The 13831-nt window shown below is 35.9% G+C and overlaps 1 protein-coding gene across 16 annotated transcripts in view; it reads right to left on the bottom strand.

Annotated features, from left to right (window-relative positions):
- The window catches only part of RIC1 (RIC1 partner of RAB6A GEF complex), a 149527-nt gene that overhangs the window by 23220 nt on the left and 112476 nt on the right, over positions 1–13831 (bottom strand). For 9 of the 16 annotated variants that reach the window (XR_428426.4, XR_007061330.1, NM_020829.4 and 6 more), the window contains 7 exons: positions 12401–12545; positions 11677–11725; positions 9331–9483; positions 7909–8112; positions 2176–2214; positions 1768–1878; positions 484–573 (listed from right to left, as the gene is read on the bottom strand). Coding sequence is in view for 12 of the 16 variants with exons in the window: in NM_020829.4 (NP_065880.2) it covers positions 484–573; positions 1768–1878; positions 2176–2214; positions 7909–8112; positions 9331–9483; positions 11677–11725; positions 12401–12545 (791 nt within the window). In the remaining 4 variants the exon portion in view is untranslated. Of the gene's footprint in view, positions 1–483; positions 574–1767; positions 1879–2175; positions 2215–6699; positions 6789–7908; positions 8113–9330; positions 9484–11676; positions 11726–12400; positions 12546–13831 lie in introns of those variants that run through there. The other 7 variants (XR_007061331.1, XR_007061332.1, NM_001206557.2 and 4 more) reach the window with 3 other exon arrangements.

Genomic DNA, 13831 nt, shown 5'->3' with positions numbered 1-13831 from the left:
CATTATTAATCTCTTACAAATTAAACTTTATCATAGGTATGTATGTATAGGAAAAAAGATAGTGCTATATAGGGTTCAGTACTATTAACAGTTTCAGGCATCCACTGATGGTCTTGGAATGTATCCCCCATAATTAAGGAGGGGTTACTGTAAATCAGTAACTAAATAAATCTATCTCTGAGGACAGCCATTCTTATATCATGAAATTTTTTGCTTTTAACTCTTTATTTTCAAACTCCATAGGGAATGTCCGACAGCTAAAATCCTTAGAAAAGGTTATCTTAAAAGTCTCAATTGTCACTTAATAATTTTTTAAAGTAATAACCTGAAAAGAAAATCCCACTACCTAAAAGAAGCTACATTCTTGATTAAAAAATAAAATGTTTTGTTCAGTTTTCAATCGACTATTTTCTATATAAAATTAATTCATGCTTAATAGCTTTAAAATATAAAAATCTGTTATTTCTGAGAGAAAAAACTTACCTCTTCTTGACGGTCATTTATGTTATAACACGCAAGGACCATAAAATCATTCCACCAGGCTAAGCCACCTGTCACGATCATATTTTGCTCCTTAAAATAAAAATTTTTTAAAAAATTTACCTTATGCTACCAGAAATTATAACAAAGTAATATATTTATAAAAATTCTTACCCAGACAAAGCTCAAATTATTATTATTTTTTGAGACAGTCTCACTCTGTCACCCATGCTGGAGTGCAGTGGCTCGATCTCAGCTCCCTGCAACCTCCGCCTCCTGGGTTCAAGGAATTCTCATGTCTCAGCCGCCTCCCAAGTAGCTGGGATTACAAGCATGCTCCAACACACCTAGCTAATTTTGTATATTTTGTAGGGACGGGGTTTCGTCATGTTGGCCAGGCTGGTCTTGGACTCCCAGCCTCAAGTGATCCGCCTGCTTCGGCCTCCCAAAGTGCTGGGATTACAGGCGTGAGCCACCACACGCCCAGCCAAAGATCAAATTATTTCTGCTCTTACTCCCCCTCTCTCCAATGATAACTCTAGAGCCTTTATTAATAATGATCCATATCCTATTTATAAAAATAAATATTTCTTTAAGAAGGCAAGTATACCATTAAAAATAACTGGGTGCTATATAGCATCATCATTCTAACACCCATTAGGGCTTAGTGTAAATTCTGGCTTAATCACTTATCAGATGAGTAACTGAATCCTAGTTTGTGTGTGTGTGTGTGTTTACATCAAAAGATCAGTAACAGTAGTGCCTTCACTGGGTTGCTGTGCAGATGAGTAAGATAACATATATGAAAGTGCCTTAAAATGCCTAACACACAATAGGCACCTAATAAGTACTGATTTCCTTCTCTTCCAACTGCATGCGTATATGTACACACACATACACATACACACACGCACACTCACTATCCCATATACATCACACACAGAATAGGCATGGAATGATCTCAAATTCTGTGGAAATCTATTCTGATCACATCAGATAAACTCAAGCTGGAATGTAAGAATAAATCCTCAGGCTAAGGAATTATAGTTACCGATCTTAAAAAGAATTAAAAATAAACCAACTATTTCAACACAAGATCCTTTATCAAATATCAAGTATTTTATCAGAATCAAATCTTACATATTATTCAATATCACTTTTTTATATCTGATTTTCCTTATTTTTAATAAGTAACCAAAATTACTTAGTGATAAACTTTATAGCTATTTCATATTGTAGTTCTCTTATACTTTGAGAAATAGGTTTTTAATCTCAAAAAAGACTAACCTGGGTAATGTTTCCAAAAAGTTTCCATTTTTTGGTGAGTAAAGAGTAATGTGCAAAACCAAACTTGCCAACCACAGCAATATTCTGTCCAAGCTTATCAATAGCTGAAAACTGTTTAAAAAAAAAAATAAGAACTTTTCCTTGCAAACCTATATACTTTATTAGGCATAAAGAGCTTAGTATTGTGTCAGGCAAACAGACAATTAATAAATGTTTGCTAATTAAATATTTTAAAGTCCAAATATTCAGTTATATCTGACAAAATTATAGATGTTAATATACTAGCAATGTTACAATAGATCAAGAGTTTTATTTTTCTCAGTACACCCACTGAAGGGCTCTTCCCAGAATGCCTCTTGCAGCAAATGCTAGTCAACAAAAGTTAACACCAACAAAATAACAACTCACCCGTATAGGCCAATTGCTCTCTAGATAGGTGCTGGAAATCTATAGAAAATAACACATCAGATTGGTAAAACTTATGAAATATATTTAAACTTAAAGCATTAAGTTATCACACTATGAGATTCATCTTGCCGAACAATGTTTAAGGTGCCCCCTAGTTAGTAGCAGAGCACTTGGAATTTACCATTTGTATATGAATCAATGTTTTACATCTTACGTTATTTCATGTTTCTAGGCACCAGGCTTTCCTCTCCCTGCCCCTTGCCCCTTATGTTTCTGTTTGTTTTAAATATTGAATTCAATAAATACAGACTGACAAGAGATTTTCAGAGAAGGCACCTGTGAGGGCAGCTATGAATTGTGCAGATGAACAGTTTGGGTTTGCTGATATAAACCATTCCAAAACAACCTAATCTAATACAATTACAGCCTCAGAAAAAGTTCTGGTTTTTAATGGAAATATTTTTATTACTTTTACACTTTTCTGATTAAAACAGCAATGCTTAGGCCAGGTGTGGTTGCTCACGCCTGTAATCCCAGCACTTTGGGAGGCCGAGGCAGGTGGATCACCTGAGGTCAGGAGTTTGTGACCAGCCTGACCAACATGGCGAAATCTCGTCTCTATTAAAAATACGAAACCGTGCATGATGGTGCATGCCTGTAGTCCCAACTACATGGGAGACTGAGGCAGGACAATCGCTTGAACCCGGGAGGCAGAGGTTGCAGTGAGCCAGGATCGCGCCACTGCACTCCAGCCTGGGGAATAAGAGCGAAACTCCGTCTCCAAAAAAAAAAAACAAAAAAAAACTTATGAAATTATGCAATATAAAAATTGACAAAATGAAATTCTCTGTTACTTAGGTACAACCACTGGTTAGCTTTTATTCTATCTCTAAACAAACATATATATATGTACATGAAAGAGTGTATGTAAGCTATTATTTTTCTATTGGGGTATTTGACTTACTTATCTACAAGAACTTTTAATATATTACAAATATTAACTCTATCTGCAAGAAAAGGCGTTCATTTTTCCACGTTGTCTGTCTTACATCTTTGAACATGGTGTCTTTGTATCACCCTAACAACACCTTTCAATTTAAATAATTGACATGGGATATCAATGTAGATAAAGTAAATTTTCGTTTTAATGAGATTGATCTCTCTAGCCTGCTGATTAGTTTTCATGAGCACATGTTGGAGTGGGGCGAGAATTAACAGAACTGAACAAAGAGTCTTCTGTTCTTGGAATAAGAAAAGCTTCGATCTGTTCAAATTTATTTTTCATTTTACTCTAAGAAAAGTTGTCACATATTGAAAAACTAAATGCCAAATTAAAAAGCTAAGTCAACAGCAATCAAACCCAGTAAGATTGTGTATGTAATGTGAAGACAGAAAATTAAGTAAAAGCAATATGCTCTAAACATCTGTATTAACCTTGATAAAATTTGATAAAACTGTTTGTTATACTTCACTTATTATCAAGTGCTTTACTTACTAATTATTTGTTATACTTATTAAGTTGACTTAAGTCAACTTAAAATCCAACTAAATCAATAGCTTAATAAATTAATAAAATTCACTATGGGCCAGGCACCGTGGCTCATGCCTGTAATCCCAGCACTTTGGGAGGCTGAGGCAGGCAGATTGCCTGAGGTCAGGAGTTTGAGACCAGCCCGGCCAGCATGGTGAAACCCGTCTCTACTAAAAATACAAAAATTAGCCAGGCGTGATGGCAGGTGCCGGCAATCCCAGCTACTCGGGAAGCTGACGCAGGAGAATCACCTGAACCCTGGAGGCGGAGGTTGCAGTGAGCCGAGATTGCACCACTGCACTCCAGCCTGGGCAACAGAGTGAGACTCTGTCTCCCTGCCCCCCAGACCCCCAAAAAGATCACTATGATGGGTAAAATTAGTTCAGAATAATGGTACACTTAAGGTAATGATTGGGTGGTGAAATAAAACTTGAAAGCATTTTCAACTTTTTTCAGCAGTCACTCACAGCAGGAGGATGTACCTGAGTATAACTGTGTCAATCATCCATTGCACTAAAAGGAATCCTTACCTCCCTCAAACCTTGGTGTTTCATGAGTACTTATGAAACGTGTGGGTGGGTAATGGAGGAGCTGGGATCTTACTGCAAAAGTGGATTCTAACACAAAGAGTTTCTAATAATGGGAACCAAAGTTAAATCTTATCAAATGATCACACTATGATCAATATCTATAAAACAATTTATTCTTTATTCTACAAAAATCTATGAAGTGCCACAAATGATGTATTTTAAAAACTTAAGGTGTTAAGTTTAGAATGAAGCTTTATTTTTCATGCAGTTTGTGTCTAAAGATACTATGTATTTTCTCCAGTAGGTCAACTTTATTGATCTATGTGTCATCTGAACTCTGAGCTCTACCTCTAATACTTGATAAAAGGGAATGGCAGAAGTAAGGAAGAGGCAGCTGATCAGTGACAAAAAAAACAGGTCATGAAAGCACACTCAGGGCACTGAAGTCATGCCACATCACTGGAAAACTGAGTGCTAAGGTACAGAAACTCTACCCTTATCTTAGAATGTTTCAGTTTCTCTTAAAGAAACTGAATCCGCCCTCATTTGTTATTATGATTTTTAAATTTTAAAGTAACTCTGCTAAAACTCTGTCTCCTGCCTAGATTAGTTTTGTCTATAACTAGTGAGACTGTGGGAGCCATCCTCCTAGCAGATTTGTTCTGTGCCAAATACCTGGTACACTTGATACATACTGTAGGAAGACAGTAAATAATTTATGAATGAAAGAGCCTTTAAATACTCTCTGTTGAAATCCCTAACATAGTGCCTGATACCCTGTAGGTGCTTATCTTCCACATTTTGTGAAGCTTATTCTTTCTAAATAGCCAAGCTAACCATCAAACCAACACCCTCAGAACAATGGATAATAGATTTATGTACCTTTCAGAAGTAAATGCTTACATCATACAAAATACTGAGCATTAAAATAAATGGCAGTCTTAGAAGGAACATGGCCTAAAACTAGAAACTTTGTGTTCTGTAAAATTTCAATAGTTTGTGCCCCATATGTCAACAAATGACTTCAAAAGTTTTAAAACTTATAGGTAAGAAAAAACTTTTTAAAAAGCACCTTGGCTGGTGCTTGCTGGTGCTTGCTTTGGCTGGGTGCGGTGGCTCACGCCTGTAATCCCAGTACTTTGGGAGGCTGAGGCAGGTGGATCACAAGGTCAGGAGTTTGAGACCAGCCTGGCCAACATGGTGAAACCCCGTCTCTACTAAAAATACAAAAATTAGCCGGGCATGGTGGCAGGTGCCTGTAATCCCAGCTACTTGGGAGGCTGAGACAGCAGAATCGCTTGAACCCTGGAGGTGGAGGTTGCAGTGAGCTGAGATCACGCCACTGCACTCCAGCCTGGGCAACAAAGAACAAAATTCAATCTCAAAAAAAAAAAAAAAAAAAAAAAAAAAAAAGCACCGCCTTTACTGCCAGTTACCAATCCTGCTTCTGACAAGTATGTATTTGTTTTGTTTTAGTTAAAGAAAAATCATAAGTAACATAGAATCTTCCAATCTGGAAGCTAAGGAGTATAAGGTAGCAGGTTTAAGCAAACAAACAAAAAGCTAGTACTCTAAATGAGAAACAGAACAAGCAGCAGAATTAGTTGGAGTTCATCTAAGCTATACAAGAAGCATACATACAACGAATAAATCACGCAAACAAAATCAACTTTGACAGAGGATGTGGTCACTTATCTTAGAAAAAAGGATACTATTGTGGGGCAAATTAAACCAGGCAACTATGTTTCTTCAGGGAGTCATCATAAATGGCTAAAAAGCCTAGAACGTAAAAGTTTAGCATTATATAGACACTGTATACTGCCCTATACACCGCCACCATAACTGCACTGAATCATGTAGCTGGAGTGCCAGCGAAATACAGGGCAACTCCAAGTACAAACTGCCAAATAGGCGAATTCTAAGTTTTAGCTCAAGGTCAGTGGTGTATTATGTGATTTAATGCTCAGTACCTCGGTTTTAAAATACATTAGATTTTTACTTTAACGTAGAGTGATGATAAAGATAAGTCTGCCACTACTCTGCTGGGTGAACTGGACAAGTCATATAACTTCTCTGATCCTCAGTTTCCTCATGTATCAAATCCAGTTGGACTTTATGATCTCTTAGGTCCTTCCAGCTTGAAAAATTCTATGAGCCCATTTTCATTGTTTCAGCAGTACAAAACAATCAATGTGGCATTATTTATGTTATTTTTAAGGAAACTGATAAACTAGGTAAACTCAAGTTTTAAAAGTTCATCTGTCTAAATATCTTTAGCTATCTAAAGAACAGAATAACAGTGGAATCTTGCTAGTACCCAAAGTCCTAAAATCAGTGTTAAAATGTTTCTCTTATATGGGGTACTTCATAGATGCTTAAGAATCACAGAATCACTGAGTTTTTGAGCTGGAAGGAAATTCAATTTTTGTTATTGCCTGATCGATTTTTTAGTTCCAGACCTACCTTCTTTGATCCTCTGCTCTACTTGGCTCTCTGGTAACACAGACCTGGCTAGGCAGAACTGGCATTGATGCTAGGTCAGTGTAGAATGAATAGTTCAAAGTATGGGGAAATGAAAATAGCAGAGAAATGGCTATAGGAGAGAAGGGAGCAGTGGAAAATTTTAGTCAAGGAAGTAGCTAGTGCAGTTTTATTTAAAAATTGTTACTAATTATAAAATGGTATGTACATTGTTTGATTCTATGAATTTATTAATGTAAGTTAAGTTCATTTTCTTTTAGTGTATACCAGATGTCAATGTAGGAGATAATCCTTCAACCTTTCACATGACCATTTTTTTGTCTCTCATTATCTTCACTCAAAGTCAACTGAAAATAACATGGGAGCTGAAGTAGGCTAGTAGGGTAAACATATAGAGAGTCAAAGTAAGGCAAAGAATTATGGAAACAGAAACTGACTAAAAGAAACTAAGAGTGGGCTTTGATGTACCTAAAATATTTTGCTATCAAAAAGGGAAAGAAAACAGTCGGAAGACTGAAATTATGTATGCAAGTTTCTTTTAAGAAACTTCAACTTACTGGTTTCCCCAAAATAATTTTACTTGGTATCAAAATTGAGAATTAATTTCCATGTTAAATGTCAGTTTATCAGAATTACTGTGAGACACTGTTAATTTAAAAGTGATATCAGAATGAATAAATAATTTGGAATAAGATTAGCTAATAAAAGTATTAACAATAAAGCTCTCTACTGATCACAAGTCTGCAATTTGGGTCCAAAGTCACATGATTAACCTCAACGTGGCCCCTTAAGACTGTAAGGTCAGCTGTACAGAGTACTAGCTGATGTTGCCACTTTCCATGAGATTATTACACTTTGTTTTGCCTGTGCAAATCCGTAGAGCTAAATTTATACAAAAAAAGAGGCTGAAAGTAAAATAAATAGTTCTCAATGAGAAGGCAAAACATAAACTTCTAGTTCTTGACATTATTAATAGACTTGAAACAGGTGGGGATACACTCTACGCCAAGTGGAAAGAAAGGAGGGAGAAGACTAGAGGACAAGAACACAGAAAAGCAGAAGAGGGACATGACAAAATGGTTAAAAGGATTCTCAGTTGCCTGAAGTTAACAGATGAAATATTTAATAATCTGTTCCAGGTGATATCCTATCAAAGAATAAGTCTCTAGTAATCAGTAACTAAAGATTTACCTGTACAACATGCCAATGCCGATGTCCAAGTAAAGTGCTTAATCCCTGAGACTCTAAACCTCCATCTGCAAATGGGCTCTTTTCTCGACTGGGCTTATGCTCAGAGTGTGTTGAAGAACTCCTGGGATTCTGGGTTTGTGAAGCCTCTCCACAGTTCAAGTACAAGCGATCCTCACCCTGAAGCAACACCTGCTCTTGGTTACTCTAAATGAGGGAAAGAGGAACAAAAGGGCAAAGGAGGAAAACAAATAAAAACAACTCAATATTACGCAGGCAAAAATAACACATCGATTTAGTTTTATTATAGGAAATGTACATGTATCTCGATGTTGATTTTCTTCACAGAGGACAAAGACTACACAATAATCTCATGCACTGTTATAATTAGAAAGAATAGTGCTCTTAGTGACTATGAGATTTCAGCTAGAAAGCCAGTGTTCTCAAAGGTGAGTAGACTCATTAACTATTGAAATCAGACAAAGTAGCACCCTACCCTTGTCATTTTTCCATTTTAGTCCAAATGCTGGCTTGACATAAAACTCAAGGGTGCTTTTAAATTATTATTTGGGATGGGGAAGGGGAGGGAGAAATGCTCTCTTCTTTTCTGGGGATCCTTAGTCTTCAAGTGGAATAATGGATCTGAAATTCAGGCTATTTTCACATTTTTTATGGATGTTCGTAAATTTTAATTAGAAATTTGTTGTACCAAATATCCATTAAAAAGCCATTGATGGTAGGTATTAAGATACACATTTCTAACATGTAACATATACCATTACTGTATATTAGCGATATATAATAATATTAGTATACACTATTTCAGATAGAAATACAAGAGGCAGTGTTTGGGGCGGTGTTTCTAAAAGCAAGTCCTCAGACATACTTTCTTTAAGCTATTTCTTAAAAATTCACAGTTAAATAAGCATGGGGAACACTGTTTTTAATATACCACCTCCTGGATTTTCATGATGCACAATGGCATATTTAAGCCTCTGGAGCCCTACAATCAATCTCTACAATTTTGTTTTACCTTTATTTGACACTTATATGGAAACAAAACTTTTAAAAAATCCTGTGGAACTGCTACTAATATCTCTCATAAGTAGTGCCTGGAGGAACACACTTTGGGAAATGCTATTCAGATAAAGACTAAATTACTCAAATTATTTAAATAAATATATAAACATTGCTTTCCGTCAAATTGCTTATGACCCTTTTAAAAAAATAAGACCAAAGAAACACAACCCGTTGAGAAATAAAATTTTGGTATAAATTTAATATAAATTAAAAAGAAACACAAGAATCATAGAAAAGAAGATAATATGCCAATTTTAGAAGTATACGCCATACATATGTCATAAAGAAGGGTCTGAGCTTCTAACACAAAAGACACTAAAAAATCAGAGCTTTAAATATACTTACCATACAAGGGTTTACAGTGAGTACACTCTTAATAAACTGAAATAACAGGATGCTGGGCTGTTTAACTACACTCCTGAGGTCAGACTCAATTTCAGTGTTTTGAGAACCAAATCCGCTGATTACCCATAGGTGATAGCCTTCTGCACCCCAGCTCTTAGAGAGAAGAGGAGGGAGAAAAAAAGTCAGAGCAATAAAAGGCTTTTGTATCCCTTTCTAGCTTCAATTATTCAAATTCTGAAATAGCCAATGATAGCATTATTAATGATTTGTGAAGGTTGGAGAAACCGTGATAACACAGACAAGAATCACACCTTCAGTTACCTCTTAACTAACTCCAGAGGAAATCACCATCACTGCTCTCTATCTGCAAAAGTGAAAACATTACCTACCATTCTTAATGCCAATTTCAGGGTCTTAATCCTAAAAATACCTACTGTGCTCTGTAACTTCTCTATTGCTTTAATTTAGCTGCCTCTCAAATACAAAGAAATTCCTTACAGAAGACACCCCAGGTTACCCAGTAGAAGCCTGGCAAAGAAGCCCCTACAACAGATGCAGTTTTGTATGGAGCAAAAAACATTGGATTGGAAGCTGTGAGACTAGAGTCTTCATTATAGCTTGGCTTTTTGTATATATTACCTTGGCCAAGCTGTCTCGTTTCTCGGGATATAAGTTTCTTCCTCTGTAAAATGAGAAGGTTCAAATAAATTCCTCCAGAACCATTCAGTTTTAATATTCTGTAACTAGACTCCATGATAGTATTTTTAAAGATTAGTGATTCTCAATCTTCAAGCCAAGAAAATGGTGAAGGGGCAGGGGTAGCCCATGAATTGTTGCAAAATTTCAAAAGTTTAATAGAACTTTTATGTTTTCCTATGATAAAGCTGCCTAAGTTTTAACTAATAATGCTTAGATTCTTAGTTTGTGGTTAAAATATCAACTTAGTGAGACGGACAACACTGGTTCTTGCATGCCATTCAGAAGCACTGATTGGTATTTATAGAAATGTGTGGTGAAAACTTATTTTAAACTATGGAGGTGGGCAAAGACATCAGAAGGGGTCCTTGGTGGTGAAAGTTTGGGAACCACTATTTTAGGCAACCATGGCGGTTTTAATTCTACAAGAAACTCAAGATCAGAAGAATGTCTTCCTCTGTGGAGCAAGAGAGAAGAGAAGCGACAAGCCTCATAGTCACTAATTTAAAAAGGATGGTATGCAGAGGGGCTATAGCAAGAAAAACTTGTTATGTAAAGACAGGGGTTTTATATCTCTGTTTTCTACAGAAACTCTTGAAAATAGGTAAAAAATAAAAATACAGGTTAAGCCTCCCTAATCCAAAAATCTGAAATGCTCCAATAGCTGCAACTTTTTGAGGGCTGATATGACACCACAGTAAAAAAATCCCACACCTGACTTCATGTGATGAGCTGCAGTCAAAATTTTGTTTTATGTACAAAATTATTACAAATTCATTACATTAGCTTCAGTCTATGTGCATAAGGTATATATAAAACATAAGGGAATTCTGTGTTTAGACTTGAGTCCCATCCCCAAGAATGTATTTGCAAATATTCCAAAATCCAAAAAGTTCCAAAATCTGAAATACTTCTGGTTCCAAGCACTTTGGTTAAGGGGTACTCAACCTGTATTGTTTACAACAGTGACCATAATTCTCTTTGACATACATCTATGTAAATTTTAAAAAATATGCTCAAGGTACTGTATACATATATATAGATATATAGATACAGATATCCTCAAGTAATGCACAAGTGCATGTCCTCCAGGAAAAATGCCCAATGAGCATTTCACCTCATGTTAAAAGCAAGCAGGCCATGAGAAGACACATACAAAAAAGGCCTCATCTGAACAGTCATTATCATCATAAAGATGACAGGGGTTTGCTGGCCACATCTAAACAAAATGCAAATACTGAAAACCAGGCAGCCTTCCAATTAAAAAAAAACAAAAGACTTTCATCAAGCAAGAACTGTATAATGAAGAGTCTGCTGAGACTAAAATAGTTTTGTGATTTTATCAGATCAACATGAGTGAAAAAAGGGGGCCAGCCTGGGCAACATGGCAAGACCACGTCTCTACTAAAAATCAAAAAAATTAACCGTGTGTGGATAGTGGTGTGCCTAGAGTCTCAGCTACTTGGAAGCTTGAGGCAGGAGGATCGCTTAGAGAGGCTGCAGTGAGCTATGATCTGCCACTGCTCTCCAACCTGGGTGACAGTGTAAGACCCTGTCTCAAAAAATTAAATAAATAAAAATGAGTGAAAAAAGGGAAGAAAAATCCAAGTTTTTTTAATACCATGCCAATTTTTTATAGAAAGTACTTACCATAGAGTTGATCTTAAGGGGATCTTTTTTGGTGCCATCAGACCTATAACTGAAACAGAACAGAAACTAAATATAATACAGCCTTCCAATTACATATAATACACATAAAATTTAGTGTTTTTTAAAAAATCAAACGGATTTTGCTCCTTTAAAATAGAAATACATAATAATGCATGAAATACAAAACTGTGGGTTAATACACCTAGGTGTATATATCTCTCAGCCACATTTTCCGAGGTCCAAGTGACTTCTTGCCAGAGATATGCAGCTTTTAAAGGTGTGCTCATTTCATCAGAACTGAGGTTCAGGGTAGTATATGAAGTGGGCAGAGATACCAACCTACTCCTATCAATCACTGGGCTAACCTACATTAACCTAATGAGATAACGTAACTTTCTACTATTTATGTACATGCCTTACCACCCTCATTAGATTATAAACTACCTAAAAGCAGAACCATGCCTGATTCTGCTTTGTGTCTAACATGCTGTCATATATACAGCAGGGGTTCAATAAATAAATACATTTTTGTGGAATGAGATGTACATTTTTTAAAAAATGAATGTTCAGAGAATCAGTATATTCGAACAGATTATGAACTTTGCAAATTGTTTTAAGGTAAGAGTCAAGGCAAAAAGGGAAGTTCTGACACAAGGTTTTTGTATGCATGCATTGTGAGAAATAATGGAGTTATTTTATCTAAAAATTGTCTTTTTTGACTTACGCAAAATCTCCTCCAAGTGTACAAATCAGCTGTGCTCCAAAAACACTCCATAAAGAAAGGCCTCCGTATTCCCAGGTCACTATTACAACACTATTGTCAGGAGACCATCTCATCAATTTAACAGCTCCTGTTTTATTCCAAATGTCTGTTAGGAAATAGTGAGAAGAGTTAAAAATAAATAGTTGCTTCAGAAATACTTGTTTTTTTTTTTTTTTCAAATACAATCTGTATTTTCAAATCTAAATGAGTAGAAAGGTATGACTGCTTCCAAAAATAAATCCTGGTCATTTAGGACTACTTAAAGTTAGTAAGGCCATTAGTTTTGTCCTGATCTAAGCAGAACAAACTCAGTGCACAGGTGATTTGTAAGAAGTGAAAGCTGTTTCTAGTCACTATTAGCTTGATTAACTTATAACTGCGTAATCTTAAAAGTCTTTGGCTTTGTATAAATCAGTTTCTGTAAAACAAGGATAAGGTTACAGTAAAAGCTGTCTTTAGAAAAAAACATATGCAGGCCTTAAAAAAAGCTACACAGTAAGAATGATTAAAAAAACGTAAGGAGCAAATTTCTATTTCTGGAAGTACAGCAAATGACACCCTGAATGACTTCCACACTGAAAAAACTAAGATGGTGAATAGAATACTTAAATCCTCAAAACAATAAAAAATACTGAGACAAAGTGCTTGTTCCCTGAATTTTTCTGCCAAACCCTGGAGACCTTTACTTCTACCTCTGATGACTCACAGCATGTTAGGAACAGGAGATAAAGCTCAGAGCTTGCCCAAGACAGGTAATCTAACAAAAGATACCCATGTAAAGCTGGGACTACAATGGACTATATCCATGGTATAAGAGAGAATGAGAAAAAAGCCTCTGCCATGTAGGAAAAGAATTAGCAAGGAACACTTTCATGTTTCATCAGTGGAAGTGAATGGAAAATAATACTCCCTTGATAATCTGAAGCCACAAACCCTCACTCTGATTTGTAATTTGTGCAATTTAATGTGGTTCAAACAGAGAATACAATGCAAAGGGTCACAGACTGATGTAGTGCTCCCAAGTGACCAGCGGAAGCAAAGAAATTTAAATCCTCTCTGGAAAAACTCAAATGTTATCCAGTTCTCAAAGCGCTACACACACAAAAAATATGCTTCAAGGAAAACAATCGGCTCTCAGTCAAAAATCCTAAAATACACACACAAACGAGCAAGAACACAAAGAATCAAGACATGGCAGAAACAGACTCAGAAAGGCTTCAGATTTTGGGATTAACAGACACAGAATATAAAATAACTGCTTTTTATAGCCAATGAAAATAAAGGAGAAGACTCAAACAAGGAGCAGGATGCATACAGATTGGAAAAAGAGCTAAATAAGCCTTTAAATAATAAAAAATACAATAACTGAAATTAAGAACTTGATGGACAGAT

The sequence above is a fragment of the Homo sapiens genome, chromosome 9 (assembly GCF_000001405.40).
Source record: "Homo sapiens chromosome 9, GRCh38.p14 Primary Assembly".
In the NCBI taxonomy this organism is placed as follows: Eukaryota; Metazoa; Chordata; class Mammalia; order Primates; family Hominidae; genus Homo; species Homo sapiens.
The sequence above is the reverse complement of the archived record's forward strand: the minus strand, read 5'-3'. Positions and strand labels throughout refer to the sequence as shown.